The 14,878-nt window shown below is 54.4% G+C and overlaps 1 protein-coding gene across 7 annotated transcripts in view, besides 1 other annotated feature; it reads right to left on the bottom strand.

The window, feature by feature from the left end:
• EPHA8 (EPH receptor A8) overlaps positions 1-14,878 on the bottom strand; it is a 40,107-nt gene that overhangs the window by 23,764 nt on the left and 1,465 nt on the right. For 4 of the 7 annotated variants that reach the window (XR_946576.3, NM_020526.5, NM_001006943.3 and 1 more), the window contains exons 2-3: positions 10,479-10,543; positions 2,952-3,615 (exon numbers count right to left, since the gene is read on the bottom strand). Coding sequence is in view for 6 of the 7 variants with exons in the window: in NM_020526.5 (NP_065387.1) it covers positions 2,952-3,615; positions 10,479-10,543 (729 nt within the window). In the remaining variant the exon portion in view is untranslated. Of the gene's footprint in view, positions 1-2,951; positions 3,616-5,506; positions 5,590-5,987; positions 6,155-6,655; positions 6,755-10,478; positions 10,544-14,878 lie in introns of those variants that run through there. The other 3 variants (XM_011540969.2, XM_011540972.2, XM_011540973.2) reach the window with 3 other exon arrangements.
• Positions 7,017-7,576: an enhancer, noted in NCBI's record as "H3K4me1 hESC enhancer chr1:22898749-22899308 (GRCh37/hg19 assembly coordinates)". NCBI's record gives its function as "activates a minimal SCP1, AML or CMV promoter by ChIP-STARR-seq in naive H9 embryonic stem cells {active_cell/tissue: H9 hESC(naive)}" and the evidence as "EXISTENCE:reporter gene assay evidence [ECO:0000049][PMID:30033119]".

Genomic DNA, 14,878 nt, shown 5'->3' with positions numbered 1-14,878 from the left:
GCAGCTGACAAGGGCCCCGTTCCAGTTTTCACTAAGGGTATCTGGGGACAGGCTCTTGTCTCTCTGATCCCTGCATATAAACATCCTCCTCCCTTTCACCTCCTCTGTCCAGGGGATCCAATGATCTCAACAGCCAGGCTTCACTGTGCCCGGGGGGCTGAGCCACCATGTGCCCAGCCACTCATGAGACCAAAGAAAACGACGGAGAGAAGCCTGGCCAAGACCAGGAACAGCTGGACACCTGCTGTTTGTCCACACAAGCTTGCTTAGTGTTCCCCACTCTTGGGGTGCCTGGCTGCACAGACTCCCCCACATGCACACACACATGCGCACACCATGCAGACATACACTCACGTATACATGCATGCACGCATGCACACATACACTCATGCACACATGCAAACACATGCACACATACATACACTCATGAACACATGCACACAGTGCACACATACACTCATGCACACATACACACACGCATACATACACTCATGCACACATGGACACATGCATATATACACTCATGTACACATGCATGCACACATGCATATATACACTCTGACACATGCACGCACATGTACACATATACTCACATGCACACACATGCATACATACACACACATGCACACAGGTACACATATATTCACGCACACATGCACACACATGCATACATACACTCTTGCACATATGCACACACACATGCACACATACACGTACACATGCACACATACACATGCACACATGCACGTACACATGCACACACATGCATACATACATGCACAAATGCACACACATGCATACATACTCTTGCACATATGCACACACATGCATATACACATGCACACATACACTCACACACATGAACATACACATGGACACACATGCATACATACACACATGCACACATAAACGCACATGCATACATACACATGCACACATGCACACACGGACACACGGACACGTGCATATACACACATGCATGCACACATGCATATACACACAGGCATGCACATGTACACATACATGCACACACGCACACATACATATGCCCACACGTACACATACATTCACACACATGCACAAATCCGTACATACACTTGCACATATGCACACATGCATATACATACACACACAGGCACACATACACTCATGCACAAATGCATACATACACTCACATGCACACACATACACATACACACATGCACACACGCAGACATACACTCATGCACACATGCACACACGCATTCATGCACACATGCAGACACTAACAAATGTGCACACTCACGCACACATGCACGCATATGCACACATGCATAATACACTAATGCACTCATGCACACATGCACACACTCATGCACATGCACACACATGCATACACTCGCACACATGCACACACGTACACATACGTACACATGCAGACATGCATACACTCATGCAGACATGCATACATATACTAAAGCACGCACACATGCACGCACACATACACACATGCATACACTCATGCACACATGCATACATATGCACACAGGCATAGACTCATGCACACGTACACATGCACTCATGCACACACGGGTATACAGACACACACATGCACACATACACACATGCACACTCACACGCACACACTCGCACGCACACACATGCACGCACACACATGCACACATACACTCATGCACACACGCACACATACACACATGCACACATGCATACACTCACGCACACATGCATACACTGACGCTACATGCACACACATGCATACATACTCATGCACACATGCACACACATGCACATACATACACATGCACACATGTACACATACACATGCACACACAGGTGTACATGCACACATGCACACATACGCACATGCACACACATGCATACACTCGCACACATACACTCACGCACACATACACTCACGCACACATACACACACATGCACACACTCATGAACACAGGCCCACACAATGCATACATACGCATGCACACATACATGCACACACGCACACATGCACACACATGCACACATACACTTACGCACACACGCACACATGCACACACACACTCATGCACACCACCTGGGCCTAGGCTCCCTCGTCTGCATGCCTTGCTCCTGCTCCGACACAGGAACCCAGCAGCACACCTATGGGTACAGCTGCCACCCTAAGTCATGGCCCAGGGGCTCTCTTCTCACTGTCCTCCTCCACAAGGCCCTTGCCTGTCTTCTCACACAGGTCCCTGATAAGATCCCCCTGAACAGAAGCAGCCTGTTCAGGGCCCCAGGGACAGGCCCAACCCAGACTGTACTCCCTGGGTGTCCCTGGCTTCATACCCCTCAGTGTGCTCATTCACCCAGGGCCCCGGTCCCACTTCCCTCCACCCTACAGGTTAGAAGTTCAGCGGTTTCGAGCACCAACTCTGGAGCCAGACTTCTGAGTTGAAATCCCAGCTCTGCCATCCCCAGCTGCATGACCTTGGGCAAGTTGCTTTGCCTCACTGTCTCTCCTCATCTATAAAACCAGGATAACAGTAGTTCCTACGTCATAGTGTAGTGGCCAGGATTCAATGAGTTAATACTCGCAAAGTGCTTAGAACTATGTCTGACCTGAGTTAGCCCATGGTATCACTCCCTAATCCGGGTAGGAATCCCATAGCATACCCAATTGCACAGGTGCCTTTAGCTGTACCTCCCACAGAAGGCACCGCCTCGCTGGGGTCTGTTTCCCTCCCTCTCCCCTCCCCCATCTTGCTCCCACGTCCTTCCCAACACACGGACACAGGTGGCCTCGCATATTTCCTGATGTAGGAACACTGGAGGTTTATCCATCTTCCCAGGGGCTGTGTGGGTCACTCAGGTGCCTGTGGGCTCTGACGTCCCCCCTTACACCCTGGCAGCCCTGCCAAGACCAAGCACCGCTGCCGGCTGACCCATGCCCAGGCCATGGCGCGCTCACCCACACAGGCATCCCGCCGCTCCTCGTAGCCGGCACTGCACACGCATTTGCCGATGGGCACGAGCCACTCGCCCTCCGCGCTGCAGTACATCTTGGGTGTGTCCCGCTCCTCTGAGTGCCGCACGCACTGGCCCCTCACCTCCACCAGTGAGGACGAGTCGGCCCCCGTCACTGCCTCCGAGAAGGCAGCCAGATTGCGCACCATGGCAGGGCACTTCTTATAGTAGATGCGGAGAGAGAGGATGGCCAGGCAGGCACCTATGTCCTGGAAGGCCAGGTAGAAGCCGCGCTTGCTGAGGGGACCCACACTGCGCACCTCCGTGTTGAGCTTGAGACGCCGCACACCAAGGTCGGCACCTGTGAAGCTCTCGTCGGCCGCAATGGTGTCGATTTTGAGGAACTGGCTTTCTTGTGTGCTGGCCCCCAGGTCGCGGTCCGACTCCAGGTAGTAGAGGTTGAAGGTCTCCTTGCAGGTGCCCAGCACACCAGGCATGCTGTTGCAGTCGCGCAGGGTAAACTTGATCTCAGCATAGACGCGCCGGGCGCCGTCTCGGGGGACCCAGCTCGTGCGCAGCCAGTTGTTCTGGTTGGGGCTCATGACGTTGCAAACCTGGTACGTGTGGATGGGCTGGAAGGACTCGTCCACCTCGTTGATGGAGTCCCACTGTGGGCAGAGAGAACACAGCCACTACAGCAGAGCCAGCACCTCACCCTCTTTTGCCAATGACCCTGTGTTCTGTGCTGGGGACGCTGGCAAAAAAAAAGACAAAGGAGCTGGCCTCCTGGTGGCTACTAGATGCCAGGCCCCCTGCAGACATGATCTCGAAGAGGGCCACGATCTTCAGGGGAAGTGTTATTTACTAACTCTTGAGATGAGGAAGTAGAGGCTCTGACCTGTGAGCCACACATCTGAGGTCATGTCATTATCGAGCAATGGCTGGACGGGAATCGGTCCTGTCTGATGCCAAAGCTCTGCCCTCATTTCTCTGTGGCTCCTCCTATCTTTCTTAGAGTGGGAGAACTTGCCTGGGGAAGTCAGCAAGTCCAGTTTCCATATCAGCTGCCAGAGGAATCTTTCTAATATATGAACCAGACTATGCCTTGCCCCCACTTCAAATCCTTCAGCCGCCTCTCCTGCACAGCTGCTTGTTGAGTGATTGCCTGATCCACAGACTCCCTCCACCCTGCTCTTCTTGCTGTTCCCCTGGGCTGGCCTGGGTCCCACTCAAGGGAATCCCAGGATGTGAGAAAGTTGAGTGTTAATTGCTTCTGTGCTGCCTGCTGGCTGGGCATCAGTGATTCCGAAATAAACCAGACACTCTCAACAGAGTGAAAAGGTAACCCAGGAAATGGGGGAAGCTATGTGCAAATCATGTAGCTGATAAGGGATTAATATCCAGAATACATAAAGAATTCCCACAACTCGACAACAACAGAAAAGAAACAGTCCAATTAGAAAATGGGCAAAGGACTTGAACAGACATTTCTCTAAAGAAAATATTCAGATGGCCAAATGGTGCATGAAAAGATGCTCAGCATCACTAATCATTAGGGAAATACAAATCAAAACCACAATGAGATACCACTTCATACGCATTAGGATGGCTGTTATAAAAAACAATAATAATAAGGCCAGGTGCGGTGGCTCACGCCTGTAATCCCAGCACTTTGGGAGGCCGAAGCAGGTGGATCACCTGAGGTCAGGAGTTCAAGACCAGCCTGGCCAACATGGCGAAACCCTGTCTCTACTAAAAATAGAAAAATTAGCCAGGTGCAGTGGCGGGTGCCTATAATCCCAGCTACTCGGGAGGCTGCAGCAGGAGAATCACTTGAACTTGGGAGGCAGGGATTGCAGTGAGCCAAGATCGCACTACTGTTCTCCAGCCTGAGCAACAGAGCGAGACTCCCTCTTAAAAAAAAATGATAATAATAAGTGTTGGCAAGGATGTGGAGAAATTAGAACCCTGTGCATTACGGGTGGGATTGTAAAATAGTGCAGCTGCTGTGGAAAACAGTATGGCAGCTTCTCAAAGTGTTTAAAATAGAATTACCATATGATCTAGCAATCCCATTTCTGGGTATATATCCCAAAGAATTGAAAGCAGGGTCTCAAAAAGATATTTGTACACCCCTATTCATAGCAGCATTATTCACAACAGCCACAACGTAGAAGGAACCCAAGTGTACGTCAATGAACCAGTAGATAAGCAAAATGTGGCATATACCTACAACGGAGTATTAGCCTTAAAAGGGAAGGAAATTCTGATACACCTTAAAGACATGCCAAATGAAATAAGCTAGAAACAAAAAACAAATAGTTAGGATTCCATGTATACGCAGTACCTAGATAGTCAGATTTAGAGAGACAGAAAGTAGAATGCTGGCTGCCAGGGGCTGGCAGGGAGGGGGCAGTTACTGTTTAAGGGTGTGGAGTTTCCGTTTTGCAGGATGAACGGAGTTCTGGCAGTGGTGGTGGTGATGGCCACACAGCAATGTGAATGCACTACATGTCACCAAGGTGTGCGCTTAAAAAGGGTTAAGACGGTAAACTTTACCTTATGTGTATTTCACCAGAATAAACAAGAAAGAAAGAAAGATGCCTGGCCGGGCGCGGTGGCTCACGCCTGTAATCCCAGCACTTTGGGACGCTGAGGCAGGCGGATCACGAGGTCAGGAGATCGACACCATCCTGGCTAACACAGTGAAACCCCGTCTCTCCTAAAAATACAAAAAAGTTGGCCGGGCGTGGTGGCGGGCGCCTGTAGTCCCAGCTACTCAGGAGGCTGAGGCAGGAGAATGGCGTGAACCCGGGGGACGGAGTTTGCAGTGAGCTGAGATTGTGCCACTGCGCTCCAACCTGGGTGACACAGCGAGACTCCGTCTCAAAAAAAGAAAGATGCCAAGAACACTCCCTGTCCTCAAGTGCCCCGGGTCCACCAGACTAGGCAGTGCAGGGTGATGAGCTGAGGGAATCCAGGTGGGCAAGACTCCCAGGCCCCTTCCCAGCCCTCCTGGGTGTGGGCATCTGTAGTTTACCTGTCAACCTGGCACTGCAATGAAGCAGGACCTTCTTGCAAGGGTGGAGGTCTGCAGAAGACAGGGGAGGGGACAGTCCTAGCTTCCTCGGCTGCTGAGCACTGGCTGGCCAGGAGCAGTCCCTTGTTGAGCTGACTTCAGGGACTCATGAGGGCTCTGAGGAGGAGCTGGAGGATGAGGGCAGAGGGAGGGGTTGGTCTCTGGGCCCCTGTCCTGGTTCCTCCACGCATGCAACACCTTGACCTTTTTCAATTGTCCTTGAACTAGAGATCCTATTGCTTAAAGGGGGAGGGGGGCTTCATGACCAGATGCTCTGAGAACCTGTGGAGTTCTGGGCTTATTCCACAAGCACTAGAGAGAAGGTCATGGGCATCTCAAGTCTTTTTCTGCCCATCCCAAGCCCCTCCATCTAATCTCGTCTTGATCCTCAGTGCCCACATCTGTAAAATGGGACTCAAACAGGCCCCACTTGAGCGAGGTTTGAGAGGATGCAATGGGAAAATTTCTGCAAAGTGCTTAGCTCAGGCCTGGCACGGGAAGGCCCTTGACGAATGGCCCTAATATTATACTGAACTGGCAGCATCTTCACAGCCTACCGCGCCTGCCTCCAGGGACCATGCGGGAGGATTTCCTGCTTCCAAAGGGGCCCCAGGGAGCGCCAGCCTCACCTGAAAGAGTTTAGGCTTCCGAGTCTCCCCGACCCAAGAAGGACCCCTGCTCCACACCCCGCTTTGCTGTCAGAGGCTCCAAGCAGCACAGCGTCACATCTGGGGTTAAAGTCATTGTCACAATTAATGGAGCACCAAAGAGCCAGCCAGCTGCTCCCTGTCTGTTTCCTGCCAGGGACCCGGATAAATTAATCAGTTCCATCTGAGTCTACTCCAGCTGCCCCACCGGGGCCAATGGTCTGGCCTAGCCCTGCCAGCCCCGGGAGCTGCTGATGCCCAGAGTGGCACAGACTCCTGGAGGTCTGGTGCAAGGGCAGAATCAGCCCTGTTCTCTGCCTGGGGCACCCCCACCCCGTGATGGGTGCCACTCTCATCTCCGCTGCCCAAAAACTGACTCTGGCACGCTGCTCCCCCAACTCTGTCCTCCTCCCATATCAGAATGCAGCGAACCAGCTGTGCAGCGCTTGGTGAGGCATATCCCTTCTCTGGGGCTTGGGCTTCTCTTCTGTAAAATGGGGTAGCAAATGCCTGCTCCTTCCATCTACTCCAGGGCGTGGTGAGAATCCAGTGAGACAATGGAAATTAACCTGCCCACTTACCTAAAGCAGCATTCGTTAGTCCATGTTAATTAGCCAGAGCAGGCGGAGCACGTCCCAGCATGCGGAAGTTCCCGGGAGCAGAGGGAAGGACGCAGCCTGATGAAGAGCAGGGGGTCTGGGCCAGACCTCCCCCAGTCTTCGTAGAATTGCTTTGCCTCTGAGAGTATTCAGTTTCTCGTTGGTAAAATGGCCTTTTCATCTATCAGCCCAATGATGGCACTGCACAGAGCAGTTCTAAGATTGTCCCCACGTTATAAATGAGGAGGTGGAGGCGAAGTAAGTAATCTGCCCGAATCACACTGACTACAGGAGGCGGAGCCCCCGTTCATCAGGACCCAGTGCCCTGGCCCTTCAGGCTCTGCACCTGTCTGATAATCGGGTAACATTTCTGAGGCTGGAGACTGCCCTGGGTGACCCTTGTCCTCAAGTTACTGAATGGACTCCAGAGTCAGAGGGGTGGATAGAACCTCAAGGACCATCTCCAGAGGTTCCCCCTCCCAGCTGGGCAGGAGAATCACCTGGAAAGCTTATTATTTTTTATTTTTATTTTTTGAGACAAGATCTCTCTCCATTACCCAGGCTGGAGTACAGTGGCTCACTGCAGCCTTGACCTCCCAGGCTCAAGCGATCCTCCTACCTCAGCCTCCTGAGTAGCGGGGACCACAAGCGTGCACCACCACTCTCAGCTAATTTTAATTTTTTTTGTAGAGAAAGGGTCTCACTATGTTGCCCAGGCTGGTCTCGAACTCCTGGTCGCAAGCAAGCCTCCTAAAATGCTACGATTACAGGTGTGAGCCACCATGCCTGGCTCCCTGGAAAGCTAATTAAACAGAAGATTCCCAGGCCCCTCTGCAGACCTCCTGGATGTGGGACTCTGCATGCCTCACCTGCTAGCCTGGCACAGGTTCAAGGTCTAGAGTTTGGAAATCAGGCATCTCATTCCAGCCTTCTCTCCTCTCCGAGAAACCCCAGTCTCCAGGCCCCCTGAAGATGGCAGGTGGTCCCTGCCTCAGCAGAGAGTGCAGGCTTGCCTCCCCATCTCATGAAATGGTCACAGAGTAGGCCTCGCTGCCTGCAGTTCGAAGGTGGCGGAAGGGACTCACCACAGGCTCTGGGCCCAGAGAGACCCAAGTTTGAGTCCCAGCTTGCCATCAGCTGGAACCTGCTTGATGATGGGCAAATTACTCCTCACTGCCCTGAGCCTCACCTTCCTCACCTGTGAAGTGTGGTGGCTGCACCCACCTCAAGGATTGGTTGTGGGGAGTGATGAGATTACGCCTGTGACCTGTTCAGAGCTCAGCGAATCTAAGTTGCCTGATTTGTTCTAACTCGCAAATGCAATGCTAGAACGCTGAGCTATGCATTATAGCGCCCCGCATGAAAACCCACCTGAGACTGCCAGTGTGAGCGTCCAAAACACGAGGCCAGCCATGCTCCCCACCTGCTGAAAACCCTGACAATTCCTCACTACCCTAAACACCAAGTCCGATGCTCTGAGTGGGATAAAGACACCCCGGAGCCAGCCAGGGCCCAGGCGTGCCCTCCTAGCTGCTGGGACTCAGGGGAATGCCATCTCAGCCAACCGCCATGCAGTGAGGGAGGGACCAGGACCCACCTCCTCATGGGTGGAACCCTGCCACGGGGGGACCAGCTCACTGCACCAAAGCCCTTCCACACCACGCTCACGCGGGGAAGACAGCCACACCAAGGAGTGTTTTACAGAGTGGGGAACTGATGGGCTGGGAGGTAAAGGGACACCTCAAGAACCTGGCGTCCGCGCTCAGGCAGTGGTGCTGGGTCAGGTGACGAGGGCTTCCTCCAGGCTCAGGGACCTGGAGAGCCAGGGCCATGTGGCCTGCCCCCAGCTCCCGGGAGCCCGGTGCATGAGGGCTGATAACAGGCTCAGCTCACCGCTGCCTGGTGACCAGACCCCCAGAGAGAGAGAAGTGGGGCCGTGTCTACACTTCCAATCACAGGCCCCCACAAAAGGCCCAGATGAAAACTCTACCCAAAGTCAAGAAAGGCCCTTCATAAATGTTACCTGTTGGTGTCGTTATCATCATCATTATTAATATTATTATTCTTCTGTCCTCAGAGCCATAGAAGCTGAACGTGGACATGAAAGAACTCAAGTATGCACAATGTGCTCGTGCCTGTGGCAGAGATGTGTGCATATGTGCGTATGCGCGCGCGCGTGTGTGTACGCGCACACGTGTGTGCATGTGTGTACCCACGCATGTGCATGTGCGTGTGTGCATGTGTGTACACGCACACGTGTGCATGTGTGTGTACGCGCGTGCATGTGTGTGTACATGCGTGCGTGTGTGTGCATGTGTGTGTTTCTGAGCACGCTGGTGAGAGGAAGTTCATGTGACAGTAACTGTGTGAGAGAACACACGTGAGTAACAATGTTAATGATCATTATAAAAGCCTATGTTCATCGAGGGCTCACCCTGTGCCAGACTCGGTGCCAAGACTGTGTCATCTGCTCTCACCCTGGCGCAGACCTGGGAGGTCATCACAGACTTGTCCCTTTCTATAGATGGGGAAACTGAGACTCAGAGAGGTGAAATGGTGACCCAAGTCCACCTGCTTGTCAAGGGCAGAGCTGGGATCTCACCAGGCTCGCGGGCTCACTCCTACTCTACTGCCCTGCCCCCGCAGGATTCAGAGAAGAGAAGCAGAGGGACGGGGCAGTGCAGCCTGCTCACTGCAGCCCTTCCCCAGGAGGATGGGGGCACGGCCTGTGAGCACATGACCCACAGCGACCTGAAGGCTGAGTCCAGAGTCTGTGGCCAGGACCGGGAGCTTGGCCACATTGGGGAGACAGACAAGCAGAGACTCCAGAGGTCGGAGGACTGGTGAGGCCAGGGCAGCTGGGAGGGAGGGAGCAACCCAGAAGGCAGGAAGGCCTGGCTGGCCTTCTTTAGTCCTGGCCTGGCACCTCATGAATCTGTAGGATGCAGCCATGGGGATCCCCGGACCTAGGGCCTCAGACTTGAAGAATCAGGGATCTGGTGCCAGGGTTGGTTCTGTAATCTCAAGGGTCTGTATGCACTAAACTGTTAAGAGATCAGCAGCACTAACTGCTGTGTGCCCTTGGGTAAGTCCCTTGACCTCTCTGGGCCTCTGCTTCCTTTTGATCTATCTCATGCAGACTCTGTGAGTGGCAGCCTCTCTCTGCTCACAGAGGGATGACGTTGTCCCCAGTGCCCATCACTCACCCCATGAGCCGGATACGTGAGCCAGCCCCAGTCCCCGTGGATGGTCGACGTGTCCAGCAAATTCACTGTAAAACAGGAGACAAGAGGGCATCAGGCCCCTCTGACTTCTCCCCAGCTCCTCAAGAGCAGCCTGACCCAGCTACACTGGTCCACACTCAGCCCCCAGCACACAGCTCACACGGGTCCCTCTGCCTGAATGCCCTTTCTCTCTTCCCCTCTCCTTGAAGGCCCAGTTTAAGTTCTTTCTCTTCCCTGAAGCCTTCTTCTCACCCTCTTGGCCAAAAAGTAATATTCTGAACTCCCAGAACACAAGCTGTTCCAAGTGCCAGACATCCTTGGTTGGTGGCACAGTGGGATAGTTGAGGTGGGCTCGAAGCTGGCAGGCCTCTGAATCCCAGTTGTGCCACTTAGGAGCTGTGAGTCCCTGGGCAAGCCCCCTCACCTCCCTGAGTCTCAGCTTCCTCCTCTGTAAAATGGGGTGATAACAATTCCGGTCCCACAGGGCTTTTGTGATGATGACCTGACCCTTGTCTCCTGTAAGAGCCATGATGGCATTCAAGGTCCATGCTGCAAAGTCATACCTCCCATCTGAGGACTGGCCCCAGCTTCATAATCACCCTGTTCCCCCAGCACGGTGCCTGGCATTTAGCACGTCCTCCGTGCACATCTGGTGTGGAGGGGCTTAGCGGGGTAAGAGCTGCCTCTTAGTGGGCACCCACTATGTGCCAATATCTGCAAGGGGAGCTTGAGATGCCTCATCTGCACCCCGCACAACAACCTGAGAGGCGGCCAGTATTACCTCCATTTTACAGATAAAAGAACCGAGCCTCAGGGAGGTCCGGGAATGTGCCAAGAGCCCCACAGGTGTAGCTGGCGGAGCTGCCATTCGGAGCACTTGCTGTAGCAACGGCAGGCCATCCACCATCCCTGGATGCTCGGGCCCGAGAAACAGAACCTCTGGGTAGTCTCCACGGCAGGGAAGGAGCACTGGTCCAAAGGGCAAAGTCACTCTAAGTCAGGCCCTCTGCAAAGGGGACCCTGCAGGCTCAACATGGTAGGGAAAAGAGCCCATCTGGGGGGTCAGACATTCCTGGGCCCATGTCTCAAGGCAGCTACTTATTAGCGAGTGACCCTCAATTTTCTCATCTGTAAAATGGGTTCATAGTACCTAAGGGTGGGATGAGGGTCAGGAAATTACGTGAAGCCTGGAGCCAGGGCTGGTCCTTACCAACACTAGTTCCCCTTCTCTAAGTCCCCCGCCCCCTGCCTCTCTCCATGTCCCTTGTGGTCACACCCTCACTTAAGGTGAAACAGATGCATTATGCTGTTTAGAAATCAGGGCTCCGGCTTCAGCCGTCTCTAACTGCTGTGTGTCCTTGGTTAAGTCCCTTCACCTCTTTGCTTCCTTTTGATCTAGCTGGTGATTGCTGTATGAGAGGGCTTTTGGCTCCAGAGTCCCACAGCTTTCCCTTTCACTCTGCCTTCCATGACCCCTTCTCCCAGCCAACAGCCATGGGCTTTTAACCACCCCAATCAGCGGGCTTGGGCAGGTGACGGGGGTTAAAGGTGGAGCTCTCCTGGAACTTTCCCGTGGGGAGGCTGGGTGTCCTTCTGCCTGAGATTTGCATAGCTCTAAGCCTGCCCCTCGAAGACAGAGACAAGTGTCCTCAGGAAATGCTGGAGTGAGGATGCTCTTATTTGCTGATTTTCTCCTGCCTCTCACCCTCCCCACCCCACCGTCAGGGACCCTGAAGGAGGCCGGCTGGAGTGAGGCTGGCAGAACTAGGGAGGGGGTCTCCGCGCTCCTCCCTGCATTCCTCCCTGGGTCCCCAGGGGCCACTTGGGATCAGGGGACACAGCGAATGTCCGCAGAGGGACCTCCCCCTCCCCAAGCCGGCCCCACGCCAGGGGCAGAGGCAGAGAGAAGGCTTCCCGCCTGCCTCCCTCCCTCTCAGGCAATGTAGAGAAAACTGGGTCAGGCAAGCTCTCTCCTCCTGCTGGCTGGTGGGAGGGGGAGGGGGCCGCACTGCAGTTTCCCCCAGACCAGCAAAGCCGAGTTTGGGGAGATGGTGAGGGAAGGACACACACGTATGGGTCCCCCCGCCCCACCCCGCATCCCAGACACAGGTCTCGGGGTGACTGGGCCCCTTCTGTGACCTGGCCTGGATGCAGCCCAGACCTGTCCCTATCCCGGAGCCACTCAAGTGGATGTCCACTGCTTAGGATTCTCGCCCTGGAGCGTGCAGGCTTCAGGGCCTGCAGACACCGCTCTCCAGGCCCTGCCCTCCTGGGGGAAGCCCCACCGTATCTGCAGCTGATTCTTGATCAACCAGCCAGGGGGATCAGATAATCCAAAGATAAGTCAAAAGTCAATTCTATCGGACTCAGGAAGGGCTATGGGATTCCAGGGCTGTTTGTTCCAATTCATTCCAGACCCTTCTATGTCCCTCCCCTCCCTCCTCTTCCTCTGTCCCCATCTCCACCTTCCCCATCCATGTCCCCTTGAATGGGTGAGAACGCAGAGTGTCCCTTGAAGGAAGCCCCAAGTCCATAGGAGGTTTGATGAGTGCTGAAGAGAACGCCACCATTAGGCCCACCCAGCCTGGGCCTGGGTCCCCTTGGGAATTCAGACCCTCTGGTCACCGCAGCTGGCCTCTCTCCTGCCTCTTGCGCTGCCGGACTGTGAAGCCAATTCTCCCCTGTGGGCCCATCTCCCCGCTTACCAAACACGGGGATCGGACTCCATGGTCTCCTAGGGCCCTTCAGTGAAGCGAAGCACTTAACCCCTCTGCCTCAGTTTCCTTATCTGAAAGATGTCCATAGGCATCCCTCCTAGGCCTATCTGCCCGGGCTGTTCTGGGGGGATCAAACGGGTCCCTCTCCTGCTCTGGGAAGCACAGATAACTCCTAAGCCGTTCCTGTTCGACTGTGGAAGGCATTATGCGATTTCTTTTTTTCTCCAGCACCGTCGCCTTCCCCCATTCCATTTCGCTGAGACTAATACTTAAATTGATTTACATTCCCTGAGGACGCAGCGCATGATGGTGAGGCTGGAGAATTCGGGGTGGCCAGGGGACGTCAGCCAGGATTCTGAATGCCTTGGAGATCACCTCAAAGTGGAGGATAAGCCACACCAGAGAGCAATAAGCAGCCTTGGGCCTGGCAGGGGTCCGGGGGGCGTCTCTGCAGGTGCAGGGCCCTTCCTGGGCCCACGGGTGCCCCAGCAAAAGCTCTGAGAGTGGCCTGTTGTAGGGGACTGTTGAGTGGACTGTTGTTTGGCCAGGCTAAGGTCCTGTTACCTTTGCTAGACCCAGCTGGGAGCACAGGCCCCTCCCTGAGTTCCAACAGTCCCCTCAGCTGGCTCTGGTTGCTCTAGACCAGCCCAGGGACAGTGCTGGGGAGGACTCCCAGATGCGCCACATGGAACTCAGGTCCCAGGTCTCCACCCCATGGCTGTCTGACTCGTGTGGGTAACCTGTGCCTGGCTGTGGGTACCCTGCTGCATTGATCGGAGAGGGCGTGGACTCTCGCCCTTGGGCTATGCCTCCCTTCACCATGGACACAGACTTCCCCACCTGCCTCTCTCTCTAGACCTTGCCTCTTCCTCAGCTGCTGGCCCCCACCCACTGCACAGGTCCCCTCCCCAGACCCATGCTTTGTCCTCAGCACATGAGCCTGGTCCAAGCCCCCTCTTCGAGGGGCTCTGGGGCTACCAGCCTGTGATTCCAGAGGGTGCTGGCTCCTTCCCAGAGAAGAGAGTTGAGGCAGGGGGTTGGGGGTGCACCACCTGACTCCCAGCGCCTCGATGGAGGGGCCTCAGAGCCTGCTGGGCAAACGAACTGTCCCCTTCCCTCCACCCACCCTCAGAAAGCCGTCTTCTCGGGTGCAGCTCCCAGGGCCCCAAGGCCTCTTAGATTCCAATCTTGCCCCCTTTCCTACTCCCCAGCACCCCCCAACCCCAGACCTCTCCTGGTGCCCCGGGAACCTGTGCCTTGTTACACCCACCCGGCCCTGCTCTGCCGGCATCTCACTTCTCGGCCACCCTGCCGTGCCTCTCCTCCATGCTGGGCCCTGGGCTCATGGGAGACTATGATTTTATCTGTGTCTGTGTGTGTTTGTTGGTGCACATGCATTTCCGTGGGCATGGATGCAAACGACGGGCTCCTTACATATGTGGTGTGATGTATATATGTAGACACAGAGTTGCGTATTTTCATGTGCATGCATCTGTACGTGCATGTACATGTGTGTTTGTGCTCATGCATACTGGCTTCATTTCTGTGTGTGTGGCTGTGGATGTTATGTGGGGTGGGGAGACTGACCGCACATGTCAGTCTCTACAGGCCTGGGTCACAAGTGTGAATCCCAAGTAGCCTGTGTGTGTGCTTGTGTGTAGGGTG

The sequence above is a fragment of the Homo sapiens genome, chromosome 1 (genome assembly GCF_000001405.40).
Source record: "Homo sapiens chromosome 1, GRCh38.p14 Primary Assembly".
In the NCBI taxonomy this organism is placed as follows: domain Eukaryota; kingdom Metazoa; phylum Chordata; class Mammalia; order Primates; family Hominidae; genus Homo; species Homo sapiens.
The sequence above is the reverse complement of the archived record's forward strand: the minus strand, read 5'-3'. Positions and strand labels throughout refer to the sequence as shown.